General features: G+C 46.0%; 1 pseudogene across 1 annotated transcript; it reads left to right on the top strand.

The window, feature by feature from the left end:
• Nucleotides 1-989: 989 nt before the first annotated feature.
• LRRC37A8P (leucine rich repeat containing 37 member A8, pseudogene) lies at nt 990-7,793 on the top strand (annotated as a pseudogene). Its single transcript, NR_126038.1, has one exon. The product of NR_126038.1 is annotated as a leucine rich repeat containing 37 member A8, pseudogene (transcript).
• The last annotated feature ends 10,028 nt before the right edge of the window (nt 7,794-17,821 follow it).

The following is a 17,821-nucleotide window of genomic DNA, read 5'->3' as shown; positions in this document are numbered from 1 at the left end:
TAGCACCCGTTTTGTGTCCAACCCAGGGACAAGTATGACACTGTCTCTGGAACATGAAAATGATAGAAGAAAAAGAATAAGCATAAAAATGGAGGTGTAAATAATAAAGTACTAAAACATAATGCAGACCATCAGTGCTAGAATTCACCAGAATCTGTGATCCTTGAATTATGGAGGTCAGGGGAAGCTGCATCAGTAAACTAACACTTTACCTGGGGCTTAAAAATTAGCTATAATTTGTTAAATAAGAAAAAAATAGGAGTACGGTCTAGGCAAAGGCATGGTTACAGGTATGGTCGAAATTGAGTAGAACGACCCACAGCTCAGCCTCCAGAGAAACCCAAGGAGGTGGACTCTTCCTCAACCCAATTAGAGGCCCCAGCTCAGATACCAGAGCACCCTGAGGAGATTAAATCTGCAGCAACCCACCAAGGGACTCCGGCTGAGCCTCCAGGTCCTCCTGTGGCAGCTGAACCTTCCTCCAGTAAGCAGCAGCAGCCAGCTCAGCCTTCTGAGTTTCCTGGGGAGGTTGAACCTTCTCAGACCCAGCAGAAGACCCCAGTTCAGCCTCCAGAGTCTTCTATGGAGAGTGCAGCTCAAACTCCACCGAATCATGGGTGACAATTTAACGTCAGGGTGAGGATGGAGCTCATTATACCTTGCCAAGCATTACAGTTAAGCCTGTGGATGTAGAGATTAGCATAACTTGAGAGCCAAGGATAATGAATCTTCTCCAGTCCAGCAGGAGGCCCCAACCTAGCCTCCAGAGGAGGTGGAAACTTCCACAACCCAAGAGAAGGCCCCAACTGAGCCTCCATGTTCTCCTGTGGAGACTGATCCTTTTCCCGGTGAGCATGAGCAGCCAGCTCAGCCTTCTGAGTCTCCTGGGAGGTTGAATTTTCTCCAGCCCAGCAGGAGATTCCAGCTCAGCCTTGAAAACATTATGAGGTAACAGTTTCACCTCCAGCTCACCATCAAGCTCAGTCCTTAATGTCCCCTGAGAAGTTTAACCATTTGAAAGATGCACAAGAGATTATCATTCAGCAGTTAACTACCCCTGAAAATGATGAACTTTCTCCACTTGCTCAAAAGCCCACAACTTGGTCTCCAGCTCAGCTCTCCTCAGACATTGTAAGTCCATTGAATGATGAGATGGAATTTTTCACCTGAAGATCTGTCTTCAATATTCAGAAATAATTCAACTTTGCCTAAAATCACAGTTAAAAATGTGGATATAGAGTTTACCATACCTACAGCAGTCACTATAGAGGTTGAACCTTCTCCAGTCCAGCAGGACAACCCTCCTATTTCCAGTGAGCAGGCTGACTTTTCTCTAGCCCAGCCTGATTCCCCTTCCCTACCTCTGGAGTCTCCTGAAGAGAGTGAATCTTCAGCCCAGCAAGAGGCTACAGCTCAGACTCCAAATCCCCCTAAGGAGGTAGAACCTTCTCCAGTCCAGCAAGAGTTTCCAGCTGAGCCAACAGAGCCTGCTAAGGAGGTTGAACCATCTGCAACCCAGCAGGAAGCCTCAGGTCATCCTCTGAAGTCCACAAAAGAGGTCAATCCTCCACCAAAGCAGGAGATACCAGCTCAGCCATCAGAGCCACCTGAGAAGGTTGAACTATCTCCAGTCCTACAGCAGGCCCCAACTCAGCTTTTAGAGCCACTTAAAAAGGTAGAATGCTCTCCAGTCCAGCAGGCAGTCCCTGCTCAGTCTTCAGAGCCCTCTATTGTGGTAGAACCCTCTCCAGTCCAGCAGATAGCCCATCTTTGCCTCCAGAGCTCCCTCAGGAAGTGGAACCCTCTCTAACTCAGCAAAACTTTCCAGCTCAGACTCCATACCCCCTATGGAGGCAGAGCCTTCTCCAAACCAGCAGGAGGCCACAGTTCAGGCTTCAGAGCCCCCCAAGAATATAGAACTTTCAAGCCAGCAGATGGTCCCAGGTCAGCTTCCAGAGCCACCTAAGCGGGTTGCAGCTCAACATCCAATGCATTATGAGATGATAATTTCAACAGCAAGGCAGGACCAGGCTCAGTATCCAGTGTCACCCAGTGTCACATTTCAACCTTTAGACCTAGGGCTTACTATAACTCCAGTATCCACAAAGGAGGCTGAGCATTCGACAACCCTGAGAAAAACTGCAGTTCCTCCAAAACACCCTGAAGTGACTCTTGCAACTCCAGACCATGTGCAGGCTCAGCACACAAACCTAACTGAGGTCACAGTTTAAACTTTGGATCTGAAACTTACCACAACTCCACAACCTACTGCAGAGAATATATTTCCTCCAACCATGGAGAACTCAAATCAACTTCCAGAACCACCTACGGAGGTTGTAGCTCAACTTCCACCTCGTTATGAGGTGACAATTCCAACACAAGGTCAGGATCAAGCTCAGCTTTCAACACTGGCCAGTGTCACACTTCAACCTTTGGACCTGGGGTTTATCATCACTCCAGAATCCACTACAGAAATTGAACTTTCTCCAACCATGCAGGAGACCCCAACTCAGCCTCCTAAGGAATTTGTACCCCAACCTCCAGTATATCAAGAGGTGAGTGTTCCAACACCGGGTCAGGATCAAGCTCAGCATCCAATGTCACCTAGCGTTACAGTTCAACCTCTGGACCTGGTGGACTTACCATAACTCCAGAACCCACTACAGAGGTTGAACATTCTACACCCCTGAAAAAGACTACAGTTCCTCCAAAGCACCCTGAGATGACACTTCCACATCCACACCAGGTTCAGACTCTACATTCAAACCTGATTCAAGTCACAGTTCAACCTTTGGGTCTGAAACTTACCTTAACTCTATGGAGGTTGAATCCTCTATGGAGGTTGAGCCTTCTCCAACCATGCAGAAGACCCCAACTCGGCCTCCAGAGCTACCTAAGGAGTTTGTAGCTCAACCGCCTGTGTATTATTATCAGATACCCATTCCAACACCAAGCCAAGATCAAGCTCTGCCCTTCTACAGCCCCGATGACTACAGCTCCTCCTCCAAAGCATCCTGAAATGACACATCCACCTCCAGACAAGAACCAGGCTCAGCATCCAAACCTGACTCAATTCACAGTTCAATCTTTGGACCTGGAGCTTACCATAACTACAGAACCTACTACAGAGGTTAAAACTTCTCCAACCATGGAGGAGACCTCAACTCAGCCTTCAGACCTGGGATTTGCCATAGTTCCAGAACTCACCATAGAGACTGAACATTCTACAGGCCTGGACAAGACTACAGCTCCACATCCAGACCAAGTTCAGACTCAGCATTGAAACCTGACTGAAGTCACACATTTCACCTTCTGAACTAGAACCTACTCAGAATTCACTGGTGCAGTCTGAAAGTTATGCCCAAAATAAGGCTTTAACTGCACAGGAGGAACCGAAGGCCTCTACAAGCACCAACATATGTGATCTCTATACCTGCAGAGATGAAACACTCTCATGTATTGATCTCAGCCCAAAGCAGAGGCTCCACCAAGTGCCTGTACCAGAGCCCAGCACCTGCAATGACACCTTCACCATCCTGTGAGAATCGTCTTTCCTCAATTGTTCTGTGTCCTGCCTGACATGACAGCCTTTTCGTGGAGGCCTTCCTGGGCCTCCTTTATCTCACCAAACCGAACTGACAACGGACTTTCTGCTTTCACCTTTCTTGTCAATTCTTCCTTCTCCTGGTTCTCCTTTACTGTTAGGCCCCTTCTCTGGTCTTTTACTTGTGATTGCTCTTAACCCTTTTCTTATCCACTTTCCTTTAGCCCCATCACATCATTGCTTAACAGCGGCTCTCCTCCCATTTTCACTTCACCCTCTTTACAGCAGCCTGTCCCTCTTCCCATCTCAGTGATGATGCTCTAAGTGGTTAAGAGTTGATTCTGTAGCCAGGCTGCCTGGGTTTGAACCCAGGTCTGTCATTTATTAGCTTGGTTACCCTGAGCAAGTTATTCTTCTCTGTGACTCAGTTTCCTCGTCTTTAAACTGGGGATTATGCTAGTTACCATGCCATAGGATTGTTGTGAGATTTAAGTGAGTGCATACATGTATTGCTTACATCGGTGCCTAGCATATGTGGGAGTGTTGGCTGCTAACATGATTACTCAGTCCTTTAGTTATGTCCAGAACGCATCTTTGTCCCTGGCTTTCTATCTGTAGCAGTCGTTTTCTGTCAACCCTTGGCCAAGTATGATACTGTCTTCAGAAATGAAAATGATAGGAGGGAAGAAAGAGACTAGGCATGAAAAGGAGGTATATATAATGAAATACTACAAGATAATGCAGACCATCGGTGCTAGGATTCACCAGAATCTGTGATCCTTGAGGTGTGGAGATCAGGGAAAGCTACATCAATAAGCTAAAACTTACTTGGGACTTAAAGTGTAGCTATAATTTGTTAAATAGAAAACAAATGGGAGTACAGTCTAGGCAAAGTCATGATTACAGGTATGGTTGAAATTTGGTAGACAAGGCTGCAGCTCAGCCTCCAGAGAACCCCAGGGAGGTGGACTCTTCCTCAACCCAATTAGAGGGCCCAGCTCAGACACCAGAGTGCACTGAGGAGATGAAATATTTTGCCCCCAGCAGGGGACCCCAGCTGAGCCTCCAGGTCCTCCTGTGGAGGCTGAACCTTCCCCCAGTCAGCAGGAGCAGCCAGCTCAGCCTTCTGAGTTTTCTGGGGAGGTGGAATTTTCTCAGACCCAGGAGACCCCCAACTCTGCCTCCAGAGTCTTCTATAGAGAGTGTAGCTCAAACTCCACTGAATCATGAAGTGACAGTTCAAACTCAGGGTGAGGATCAAGCTCATTATACCTTGCCGAGCATTACAGTTAAACCTGCAGATGTAGAGATTAGCATAACTTCAGAGCCTACCACGGACACTGACTCTTCTCCAGCCCAGCAGGCGGCCCCAAACCAGCATCCAGAGCAGGTGTAACCTTCTGCAACCCAACAGGAGGCCACAACTGAGCCTCCAGGTCCTCATGTGAATGCTGAACATTCCCCAGTGAGCAGGAGCAGCCAGGTCTGCCTTCTGGGTTTTCTGGAGAAGTTGAGTCCTCTCTAGCCTGCAGGAGACCCCAGCCCAGCCTCCAGAACATCATCAAGTAACAGTTCCACCTCCTGGTCACCATCAAGTTCAACACTGAGATTTGCCCAATGTCACTGTTAAGCCTCCAAATATGCAGCTCACCATAGCAACACAGCCTACTGCAGAGGTGGGAACTTCGCCAGTCCATCAGGAGGCTACAGCTCAGCTCTCAGGGCCAGTTAATGATGTGGAACATTCTGACATCCAGCATGGGGCCCCGCCTCTGCCTACAGAGTCATCGGAAGAGACTGGACCTTTACCAGTTCAACAGGAGACTTCAGCTGAATCTCCAGAACCTACTAAAGATGAGAACCCCTCTCCAATACAGTAGGAGGCTGCAGGTGAGCATCCACAGACCCCTGAGTAGGTCGAGTCTTCTCCAACCCAGCAAGATGCCCCAGCTCAGCCTTCAGAGCTCCCTAATGAAGTTGTAGCTCAACCTCCAGAGCATCACAGAGTAATAGTTTCTCCTGTAAGTCATGAGGAAGTTCAGCCTCCAACATTTCACCATGTCATTGTTAAGCCTGTGGATCACATGGTTACCATGACTCCAGAGTTCACCTATCAGGTGGAAGTTTTAACTCAACACAGGGCCCCAGCTCAGCCTTTAATATCCCCTGAGCAGTTTAAACATTTGAAAGACCAGCAAAAGATTATCATTCAGCAGCTAAATACCCCTGGAAATGATGAACTTCCGCCAAATCTATCAAGAGCCCATGACTCCATCTCCAACTCAGCTCTCCTCAGACATTGTAAGTTCGTTTAATTGTAAGATGGTATTTTCATCTCTAGATGTGTCTTCCGTATTCAGAAGTAGTTCAACTTTGCCTAATACCACAGTTAAATATGTGAATATTGGCCGGGCATGGCGGCTCACGCCTGTAATCCCAGCACTTTGGGAGGCCAAGGCAGGCAGATCATGAGGTCAGGAGATCCAGACCATCCTGGCTAACATGGTGAAACCCCGTCTCTACTAAAAATACAAAAAATTAGCCAGGTGTTGTCGCAGGCGCCTGTAGTCCCAGCTACTCAGGAGGCTGAGGCAGGAGAATGGCATGAACCCGGGAGGCAGAGCTTGCAGTGAGCCGAGATCGCGCCACTGCACTCCAGCCTGGGCGACAGAGGGAGACTCCATCTCAAAAAAAAAAAAAGGATCTAGCATAAGTATGGACTAATTTTTTTATCTTGCCTGAATTCCTATCTAAGGGGTCTGAGGAGTCATGCCCTACAAATCGTAAATTCTCATCAGATGGGTCTTATTTAACCCTATATATCATGATTTACTTTCCAGCCTGACCGTGTCATAACATTGCAAGACAAAGAAAATCAAAATATTTTACCCCAAAACATGTTATTTTGCCATATTTTTGAATGGCCCTGCAAAGCTTCTCTTTGTGGGAGAAATTTTGTATCTGTAAAGCATCTCTATTAACATAGCTAGATCTTTTTCTTCTAGAACCTCCCAATCCTAAAGAGATTCACTAAGATCTGAATAGGAAACATTTGTCACCTATTTCTCTAAGGGCAGCCACTATAAGACTTCAAAAGAACTTTGGTCTCCACAATCTTTATCGTAACCTGAACATTCCCTTTCTATCTATCCCAGGTCTTGAGACAAACTCAACCTTAATTGTCAATCAGAAAATGTTTAAATTCACCTATAGCCTGAAAGCCCCCAACTCCACTTTGAGTTGTTCCACCTTTCTGGACCAAACCAATGTATTTCTTAAATGTATGTGATTGATGTCTCATGCCTCTCTAAAATGTATAAAACGAAGCTACGCCCTGACCACCCTGGACACATGTTCTCAGGACTTCCTGAGGGCTGTGTCATGGGCCATGGTCACTCATATTTGGCTCAGAATAAATCTCTTCAAATATTTTACAGTTCAACTCTTTTCATCGACATACGGACACTTGAAGTGAAGAAGCAGAGGAAAGAGAATGAAGTGGGAAAAATATAAAGAAATAATTACAGAAAACTTCCCAAATTTTCTGAAAGGCTTGAATTTACAAATTCAAGGTCAGCAAACCCCATATAGGATTGATTCAGAGAAACCTATACTTAGGCATATCAAAGTCAAACTGCTGAAAGCAAAAAAAGAGAGAATTTTGAAAGCAGGAGAGAAAAGTGGCACAATACATATGGGAAAACAACTATTTGAATAACTGAAGACTTTTTTTTTTTTTTTGATGGAGGGCCAGATAGGTGGATTCAAAGATTTTCTGATTGGCAATTGGTTGAGTTATTACCTAAAAACCTGGAATCATTAGAAAGGAATGTCTAGGTTACCATAAGGGGTTGTGGAGACCAAGCTGTTATCATGCAGATGAAGCCTCCAGGTATCAGGCTTCAGAGAGAGTAGATTTTAAATATTTCTTATCAGACTTCAAGAGTCTGTTCTATCAGTCTTAAGATCTTTTTGACGTGAATGGTAACAAGGCGTGTCTGACTCCCCCCTTCCGATCATGACCTGAACTAGTTTTTCAGGTTAACTTTAGAATGCCCTTGGCCGAGAGGAGGTGCCCATTCAGATGGCTGAAGGGCTTCAAATTTTATTTTTGGTTTACAGCCCATTCTTCATCAAACCTAAGCATAAAAAAACAGCAGTTTTCCCCTGGGTATCTGTGTCATTTCTGAAGGTTCCAGTGTCACGCAAGACTTTGATTTTTAAAATTAAATAAATTTGTTATGCTTTATTCTTGTTAATCTGTCTTTTGTTATAAGGGTGTCATCCATGAAACAATGGGTGAGGAAAAGATAACTACTTTTTCTCCTCTACAATACCACACTCTCTTCAAAGCTCATGCTTTTTTGGTCCCCTCTATCGTTTCACAATGAAGTCGCAGGCTGGGATGGCTGGGGTTTGGGTTGAAAAGTAGTCTGGGGCCAAATTGTCAACACTTGAATGCCATACAAAGGAGTCTGCATTTTAGTTTTTATGAAATAAGGAGTTATTGGCCAGGTGTGATGGCTCACACCTGTAATCCCAGTACTTTGGGAGGCTGAGGTGGGCAGATGGCTTGAGCCCAGGAGTTTAAGACCAGTCTGGGCAACATGACGAAACCCTGTGTCTATAAAAAATACAAAAATTAGCTGGGTATGGTGTCGCATGCCTGTAGTCCCAACTACTCAGGAAGTTGAGGTGGGAAGACCACTCGTGCCCAGGAGGTTGAGGCTACAGTGAGCTGTGATTGCACCACTGTACTCCAGCCGGGGGTACAAGCAAGGCCCTGCCACAAAACATAAAAATAAATAAATAAATAAATAAATAAATAAATAAATAAATAAGGAGTTATTGAAGGAGATCTCTGCAGTCAGAAAAATCTGGGCACAAATTGTAGGGGAGGAAATATAATATCTTTTTCTCACCCATCGCGAGTTTCATGGCTGAGGCCCCTATAACAAGACAGATTAACAAGAGAAAGCATACAAATTTATTTATGGTAAGTTTTACATAAAACAAGAGACTTCAGAAATGAAAATCCAAATACTAAAGAAAAACTACTTTTATGTACAGTCATGCAGAAGTATGATTAGAAGACAAAAGGGTATATTCTAATGGTAATAAACTGAGGGAGGGGAAGACTTATCAAGGCCTGTTTGCTCAGATTCTTCTTGGCCTCCAGGGTTGGGGAGGACCTCTCTGGAATGAGGATCTTATGACCTATTTTCAGAGGAGGTAGATCAGAATTCTTTTACAGCCTGCTTCAAGGGAGAAAGGTGGGAGGAGGTCAGAGAGTGACCTCCCTGTTTCTGTAGTTTTCTCAGTTTCTTTCAGCTTAAAATAATCAGTAGGCCAAGGTGCCACATTTTGGGGTAGCATGCTCCATACCCCATCAAGATCATGTTCCAGTAATCAACTTCTGTACAGAAAAATCACCCCAGAACTTTAAGCTTAAAACAATAACCATTTCTTATCTCTTACAATTTTTGTGGATTAGGAATGCAGGAAAGGGTTGGCTGGGAGGTTCTGGTGTGGGGTCTCTCAGGTAGTTACAGTCAGACATTAATTCTCTCTCTCTGTCTCTCTCCACATGGTCTCTCCAGCATGGCAGTCTCAGGGTAGCTACACTTCAAAGGCTTCCTGAGCCAATATTTCAAAAAGAATAGCAAGCATCTGGGCAACATTTTCTAATCTAGCGTTGAGAATCATTCTGATCCACGTATTGAGAATGTTGCAAAGATCCAAGAACAGAGGACCTACTTTCCACCACTTGATGGTACAAATATAGAATTGTGGACATGTTTAAAACCACCACTTAATTCATCTATAGAATATAAAGAATAATAACAATATCCAGAGAGGGTTGATCTGAGGCTAAAATAAGATAAGGTATACTTCATTTCCCCATTTCCCTTCTGGAGCTTCCTGAGATCACCTCTCAGTAAACTACTTTCACTCAGCCGGGCACAGTGGCTCACGCCTGTAATCCCAGCACTTTGGGAGGCTGAGGCAGGTGGATAACCTGAGGCTGGGAGTTCGAGACCAGCCTGGCCAACATGGTGAAATCCCGTCTCTACTAAACATACAAAAATTAGCCGGGCATGGTTGTGCATGCCTATAATCCCAGCTACTCAGAAGGCTGAGGCACGAGAATTGCTTGAACCCAGGAGACAGAGGTTACAGTGAGCTGAGATCACACCACTGCACTCCAGCCTAGGTAACAGTGAGACTCTGTCTCAAGAAAGAGAAAAAAAATACTTGCACTCAAATCCTCTCTCAGGTTCGGCTTCTGGAGGAGCCAACCTAAGAAAGGTGGGAAAGAAAGAAAAGTCAACTCCTAGATTGTTAGCCTGACCCGTTGAGCTTCATCATTTTAGCTTAAACAGCCACATTTATGGAGTATCTGCCAAGTACCATGTTACATATTTTAGGCCAATTCCTAATCATAGCCACATTGTGTAGTGTATAGCATCATCCTCATATCTCCGATAAGAAAACAGCCTTGGAAACGTCAACCAGCTGCCCAGAATTAGGCAGCTAGTAAGTGGTGGAGCTGATTTGTAAAGAACAGGAGATGAAGGAGGCAGAAAGTCCACACTGCTTTTTGGCATGGCTGCCCAAAATGTGGGGTTATGACAACTCCTATTTCCATGTGCCCCACCTCCCAACTGGAAAGTTCCTATTTCCTCATAGGGGGATTTTTTTTTTTTTTTTGAGACGGCGTCTCGCTTTGTCTCCCAGGCTGGAGTGCAGTGGCGTGATCTCAGCTCACTGCAACCTCCGCCTCCCAGGTTCAAGCGATTCTTCTGTCTCAGCCTCCCAAGTAGCTGGGATTACAGGTGCCCACCACCACGCCCAGCTAACTTTTATATTTTTAGTAGAGAAGTGATCTCACCATGTTGGCCAGGCTGGTCTCAAACTCCTGACCTCAGGTAATCCACCCGCCTCGGCCTCCCAAAGTGCTGGGATTACAGGCGTGAGCCACCACACCCGGCCACAGCGGGGATTTTTAATGGTACTATCATTCAACTTGTCACTGATGGAGAAAGTGGAAGAGATGGAGAAAGAAAAAGAAAGAGCAAAAGTATAGACGATGAGAGAGAAAGTTTACAATGTGCCAAATACCGTTCAATTCTTTAATCTTCCCAACAAGGCTCGAGGGACACATTAGCTAATATTATCTTTTACTTTTCAGAACGGGAAAGGCCACATTCTATGGAACAGTAAAGAGAAAATCCAGCCACCCTGATACCCAGTGTGTCTAGGTCACGCCCTGCCTCACTGTGACTCAGACTGTCTCTATGTTTTCCATTTCTTTTCTTTTTTCTACTTTTTTTTTTTTTTTAACAAAACAATTCCATGTCCTACTTTCTGAGCATATCCTGGCTGGTCCCTGCAGGGAAATTAAGCCTTCTTAAGGGGTTGGAGCCATCAAAAAGCAGCTGCAGGACAGAAAAGTGAGGGTGTGAGCTGTCAGTGTTTCTCTCCTGTTTTCAGAAGCACTGACAGGATTTTGACGAGACAAACGGGTGGTTAGAGTGTCTGCAGCGATGGGGCTAGAAAGCAGCCTGTGTGTCTGCAACATGAGAGGGAAGTTTTATGGCTGGAGGACTGTGTGTTTATGTGACCCTGGGGGTAGTTCTTCATCATTAATCATGTAGCAGTGTCAAAAATGTACATGTTACAACTTGGACGTGCAGAAAAGAGTTGCTATTTTTCAGTAACTGAGCTCACACTGGAGCACCCACTCTCACCAATGGTGGAAGAAACATTTGAACAAGGGTAATTAAGGAAAATGAGCTCCTCTGAAATGAAGCAGTTTCACTTCAGGTAAATATTCATGGCCAATGTGAAGTTCAAACTCCTTGTCAGGACTGTTTCTTACCTCCCAGGGTGGCTTCAGGATGCAGGGCGTCATGCAGAGGGTGGGGCATGGTTCTCATTCTGCTGACTGCAGCTGACGTGTTGACATATGGCTCATCTCACCTTGCTCCGGGACCCTCTTGATGCTCCAGTGCCACAGCTGGCGGACCCTGTGGTCTGTTCTCTTGCTGAGGCCAGAACCCACAGCCACTTGCTGCCTGGGCCCCACCCAGTTCTCACTGATCTGAGCCTCAGCATGTCCTCTATCCTTTTTAAACTGCCCATTTGGCAGCCTCTGCTATGTGGGCATCCGGAACCTCACCAGAATATCCAAAAAGTCATTCCCATTCTCCATCTCAGATACTGCAAGTAGTCAAGACTCACCCCATCTACATCCCCAAGAACTGAAGGCTCCTGTTACATCATGGCACCTCTTCCTCTGATTCCCAGCTTCCACGGAATTCTCCATTTCTTCACATGCTGCTTCACCCCACGAGGGTCAGGGCCCTCATTTCTTCATTCCCCCAAAACAACCACGATGTAAGGCTATTGGTTGTAACATGTTTACTGGAGATTTGCACACAAGATAGGTATTGAATATAGCACAGAATAATTCAGGTGAGAACTTGAATTTGGATACCAGCCATAAAAATCCCTGCCTTAAAAAACCACTGGCCATTCCCTGACAGAATAAATTAATCTCTCCCTGGCCTGATTTTATTCCCAGGATCTGGCCCACTGTGTTCTAGATCCCTGCACATCTCCCCTCTTCTCTCTCACCACCACATATCCTTACCCCATCTCACACTGACCATGAATGACTTCCAATCCTGTTTCTTACGCAGAGTTAGCCCTCTCTAGGCAATATGAGGTAGGGGCGGGATGGAATGGAGGGATTTCCCTTTTTATAATCACACATGCCCATTAAGGTATTTTCCCCCCTAATCCTAAGAGTAATTCCCTCCCTAAGAATAATTTTGCCCTCATTTTAGATCAGCCAGCTCAATGTTAGGCAGCTTTGCTAAAATAGTTGTGTAATGCCTACAAACATTTTTGTAATGGGGTATTTTTTTGAATCCTCACATGAAGCAGTAGGTAATATTATTATACCCATTTCACAAAGAAACTGAGGCTTAGCAAAGTTAGGGAACGTGGCCACTGAGTGAATCAACAGCCAAGCAAGAACCCAGACCCAGGTCTGCTTCCTCTAAATGCCCATGCTCTCCGCCACTGCCCATCAGGGGAGAAAAGAGATATGTGTCTGCAGCTGACAGGCAAACCCCATCTTCAAAATCAATTCCCAAGTGGCAGGAAAGGCCATTGTACTGCAGGGGCCTCTGCGGAGGGGACAAGCCAGGAGACAGGAGCCCTCGACGCTGGGGAAGCTTGTTCCTGAGGTCCCTACTGGTCCAACACACCATCTTCACGAAGCAACCTCCAGGATTCTCACTCCCAACTCAGCCTGTTCCCTGACAAGAGAGTCCCCACTGCAAACACCAATGCTGAGTCTGCCCTGGAAACAGCCCCCTTTGGGCTGACCACACTGTCTCTAGACCTCAGAACTATAGAGAGGCAGCTGCAAACTTGAGGCTCTCCCGGACTGTTCTGATCAACGTGCATCCCTGGCAAGGAGGCACTGTGCCTTTCTACCTCTACTGGGCAAGGGGCCAAGCCCAGAGAGGGCATCAGTGTTTGCTGAACTGAGTCCAATTCCAACCACTACTGTTTCCTCCTTCCTTTGTGATAAAGGGCTCCAGTAGGCTGAGCTGATCTCAGTGACTGTGAGCACAACTACTTCCATTTACTGAGCACCTAGTATGTGCCAGGCATCATATGCAATGACCTTATCTGGTCCTTACCAGTCACGTGGGCTCAGTAGAAAGTCAGTTCATTTTATAGATGAGGAAACAGTCCAGCAAGAGCACAGCAATTTCTTGAGCTTTTACAGCATAAGCAGCAGAGGCTGGAATTTGAACCAAAGTTTGTACAACTCCAAAGACTATCCTGTTTCCACTATGAAATACCCTCCATCAGAGGAGATAATGTCTACCACTCCTTCCCCGGAGATGATGAAATATCACTCTTCTTCTTTTGGGGGAGGGCACGTATGGTTGTTTTTGGTGTCAAAATATGATTCTAAAAGCCCACTTCCCTGATGTGGTAAAGGGTGGGGTGAGGGGTTGGGTGAGGGGGCTGGGGCAGGAATGAGCCACTGGGTGAATCATGCACCTCAACCTCTGCTGAGAGAGCCTGAATCTCTTACTGGCCTGAGGGGGTAAAAGAAGCTCTAAGACGGGCTGAAGCTCCATGGGAATTCTCCCTCCAATACCTGGGTAACCCCCTACCACATGACTTATTAGAAATAGATCAAATATGCACATGATACAAAATTCTAAAGATACAAAGTGGTATACAAGGAAAAGAAGGTCTCCCTCCTACCGCTGTCCTCCAGGCCTCTCTCCCATTACCCTTCCTAACAGGAAGGGAATTGTTGCCAATTTCTTATGCAGCCTCCAAAAGCATTTACAAACATAGATGAGTCTCTCTCTTCTTTTTAAACACACATACATTGTAGCATACTATGTAAGCCATTCTATCCTCCTTGTTTCTTTCATCTAGTGTGTCTTAGGGATTATTCATTTCTGCAAGTATGAAGACTGCCCTTTTTTTTTTTTTTTTGAGACTGAGTCTCACTCTGTCACCCAGGCTGGAGTGCATGGAGTGCAGTGGCGCGATATCGCCTCACTGCAACCTCCACCTCCTGGGTTCAAGCGATTCTCCTGCCTCAGCCTCCTGAGTAGCTGGGATTACAGGCACGCGCCACCACACCCAACTAATTTTTGTATTTTTAGTAGAGACAGGGTTTCACCATGTTGGCCAGGATGGATCTCTTGACCTCGTGATCTGCCCACCTCGGCCTCCCAAAGTGCTGGGATTACAGGCGTGAGCCACCATGCCCGGCCTCCTCATTTTTTTTAGTAGCAGCCTGGCATTCTGTTATATGGAAGTGCCAGAATTATTTCATTAGTCCTTTATTGATAAACTTCAATCTTCACTATTACAAACCATGAATATTTTGTATAGATCAAGTTGTACATATGTGACTACATCTGTAAGATAAATTCCTAGAAGTAGGAATACTAGTGCTTATTAAATACAGTATGTACTTTTAAATTTTTTCAAACTTTATAGAGGATGTAGCAATGTATAGCCCATCAATAATAAAAGGCACAGCCGGGCGCAGTAGCTCATGCCTGTACTCTCAACACTTTGGGAGGCAGAGGTGGGCAAATCACCTCAGGTCAAGAGTTCAAGACCAGCCTGGCCAACATGGTGAAACCCTGTCTCTACTAAAAATAGAAAAAATTAGCCGGGTGTGGTGGCACATGCCTGTAATCCCAGCTAGTTGGGAGGCTGAGGCAGGAGAATCGCTTGAACCCAGGAGGCGGAGGCTGCAGTGAGCCGAGATCGAGTCATTGCACTCCAGACTGGGAAACAAGAGTGAAATTCTGTCTCAAAATAGTAATAATAATAATAATATAAAATAATAGTGATAATAATAAAAGGCAGTCAAGGGAGTGCTTTTTTTTTTTGAGGTGGAGTCTTGCTCTGTTGCCCAGGCTGAAGTGCAGTGGCACCATCTTGGCTCACTGCAACCTCCGCTTCCTGGGTTCAAGTGATTCTCCTGCCTCAACCTCCCAAGTAGTTGGGATTACAGGCACGCGCCACCATGCGCAGCTAATTTTTTGTATTTTTAGTAGAGACGGGATTTCGCCATGTTGGCCAGGCTGGTCTGGAACTCCTGGCCTCAAGTGATCCGCCTGCCTTGACCTCCCAAAGTGCTGGGATTACAGGGGTGAGCCACTGTGCCCTGCCGGGAGTGCTTTTTAGATGAGGAAAAAGCCGGAAGAGACTAGCTGAGAAGTAAACAGGCAGGCCCATGCCTGGCCCAGAAATTCATCCTAGGACCAGTGAAGAAGATGAGCCAGCACCACCAACAGCCTGTTTCCTACAGGCAAGCCACCCGTTTCACACATGAGAAAACTGGGGCTCAGAGAGCCGACTTGCCTCACTCAGGGTTGTGGCCTGGAACGCTGTAGGTTCAGGGCTAATTCCTCTAGACAGTATATGCTTCACCCTCTGACCTCAAGCTGTGGTCTCCTGTGTTGGCTTGGCTACAAGTTGGAGCTCCTTCCTATTGTGGGCTGAAAGTAGTTGAGCCTACCACATGGTTCAGAACTTCCCCTGGTTATTTCATTCCCACATACAAGAAACCAGCCCCAGTCCCACACATACACACTCACACAGCTACTATTTCCAGCTTCCTTGGGGCCCACAGGACCTTAAGCGTCCACTTCTCTGAGGCAGGTAGCAGTGATGACCCTGGACATTCATCGACCAGCCTAAGGAACTGAAACACAACAGACCCCTGCACAGTTACCACCAGATAGCGGGCAGCGAGGGCGTGAAAGAAGTCAAAGCACATTAGCCACAGAGCTACCAGCCACTCAGGAAACAGAAGTCACCGTGGTGAAATAATTATCTTTCTTTGTATCGGAAAATGCCTTCACATCCATTAACTCATTTCACCTCCACAGTTCTCTGAATTAGACAAAACACGGATTCTTATATTCATTCTTCTTGTTGAGCAGATAAGGAAAAGGAAATATGCCTTTTCTAGAGAAGCAGAGACCAGAGGCCGACCCAGGTTTTCTGGTGCTTAATCCTGGTCCCATTTCTGCCCCATGTTAAGCAATCTCCTGGCAGTATGAGATGTTCATAAAAATCAGCTCTTATCTGCCCACATCCAGAATTAGTCACCATGTCCCTAGCAATGTTGTTTTGAACCCTCCAGTACATGGACGTATATGCATTCCTTTCTCTGTATCTTTTAGCTTCATAGCTGCGTCCTTTGTGAGGATACTCTTGGGATGTTTCTGAGTGGTGTCATTTTACTGTATCTAAGTGCCTGGCATGGCCTCTGGAACACGATGGGTACTCAATAAAATTGTGTTGCTTGACTGGCTGAGAGAATGGATGATATATGGATGACAGGATGAATGAATAGGTGAACAGATGAATGGATGGATGAGTGGGTGGGTGGGTGACTGGTGAGTTGAGTATTGGTTCACTTGTTTACTTGTTTTGCTTTTATTTTTCTACTAGCATCCATTACCCCTTCAAAATCACCTTGACATCTTTTTATGCAATTACTTCTTCCTTCCAGGGTATACAGTCTCAGCAGTACGACATATCAGGGACGCTAACTTCTCCCAGCCAAGAAGCAAGCAAATGACACAAGATTAGCTGGTCATACTCCCTCTCCTAGGACTGTGAATCCTTAGTAGAGTGAGACGAGGATAGGAAAATTAACTGGAATACATCTATATCAACAGTGGTTGGCCGGGCGCGGTGGCTCACGCCTGTAATCCCAGCACTTTGGGAGGCCAAGGCGGGTGGATCTTGAGGTCAGGAGATCGAGACCATCCTGGCTAACACGGTGAAACCCCGTCTCTACTAAAAATACAAAAAATTAGCCGGGCGCGGTGGCGGGTGCCTGTAGTCCCAGCTACTCGGGAGGCTGAGGCAGGAGAATGGCGTGAACCCGGGAAGCGGAGCTTGCAGTGAGCCGAGATTGCGCCACTGCAGTCCGCAGTCTGGCCTGGGCGACAGAGCGAGACTCCGTCTCAAAAAAAAAAAAAAAAAAAAAAAACAGTGGCACCCTGATGGCACTGCCAAGTAGTTCCTGCTGCCCACAAACACAGAGTGTTTCTGGTTTCTCACTTGTCATTTTTCCAAGCCAAGTTCTCCAATATCCTACCCATTCTATGAGCTACTCAACATTACCCCCAATACATTACTTTCCTGATTAAGTTAGTGTGATATAATTGTGTGTGTGTGTATATATATCTATAATTATATGTATATAAGTTTTCATCCACAGTTCCTGGCCTATAACTCCCATAGCCCTTTTACAGTCATCTGTTATAATGTTGGGACACTTTAGGCCTTAGAAACAGGCCTCAGGAAGCAGAATTTCTCTCTCTCTGACCTCTCCTGCCCTCCTTTCACCTGCCCAAGGCAGGGTTCTAATCTAATTGTGGGTCATAAGACCCTCATTCCAGAGAGGGCCCTGCCCCATACCCTGGAGGGAAGGAATGCTGCACAGAAAGGCCGAAAAGAATCTGAGCAGACAGGCCCTGATGGATTCCACCCTCGGTCTGTTAGTATTAAATCATACCCTTTTTGCCCAATCACATTTTGACATGGTTGTCCATGCTTTAGTCATGCTTATCCAACGAGTGTATAAAAGGCCCAAGAAGACAAGGTTCAGAGAGCTTCCGGATAGCTGAACGCATGGAGGCTGACAGGACAGTGAAGGAGAACTCATCCACGCGCTGGGCGAGTGGTGCACCC

The sequence above is a fragment of the Homo sapiens genome, chromosome 17 (assembly GCF_000001405.40).
Source record: "Homo sapiens chromosome 17, GRCh38.p14 Primary Assembly".
NCBI classification, from domain to species: domain Eukaryota; kingdom Metazoa; phylum Chordata; class Mammalia; order Primates; family Hominidae; genus Homo; species Homo sapiens.
This window is presented reverse-complemented; position numbering and strand designations above follow the sequence as displayed.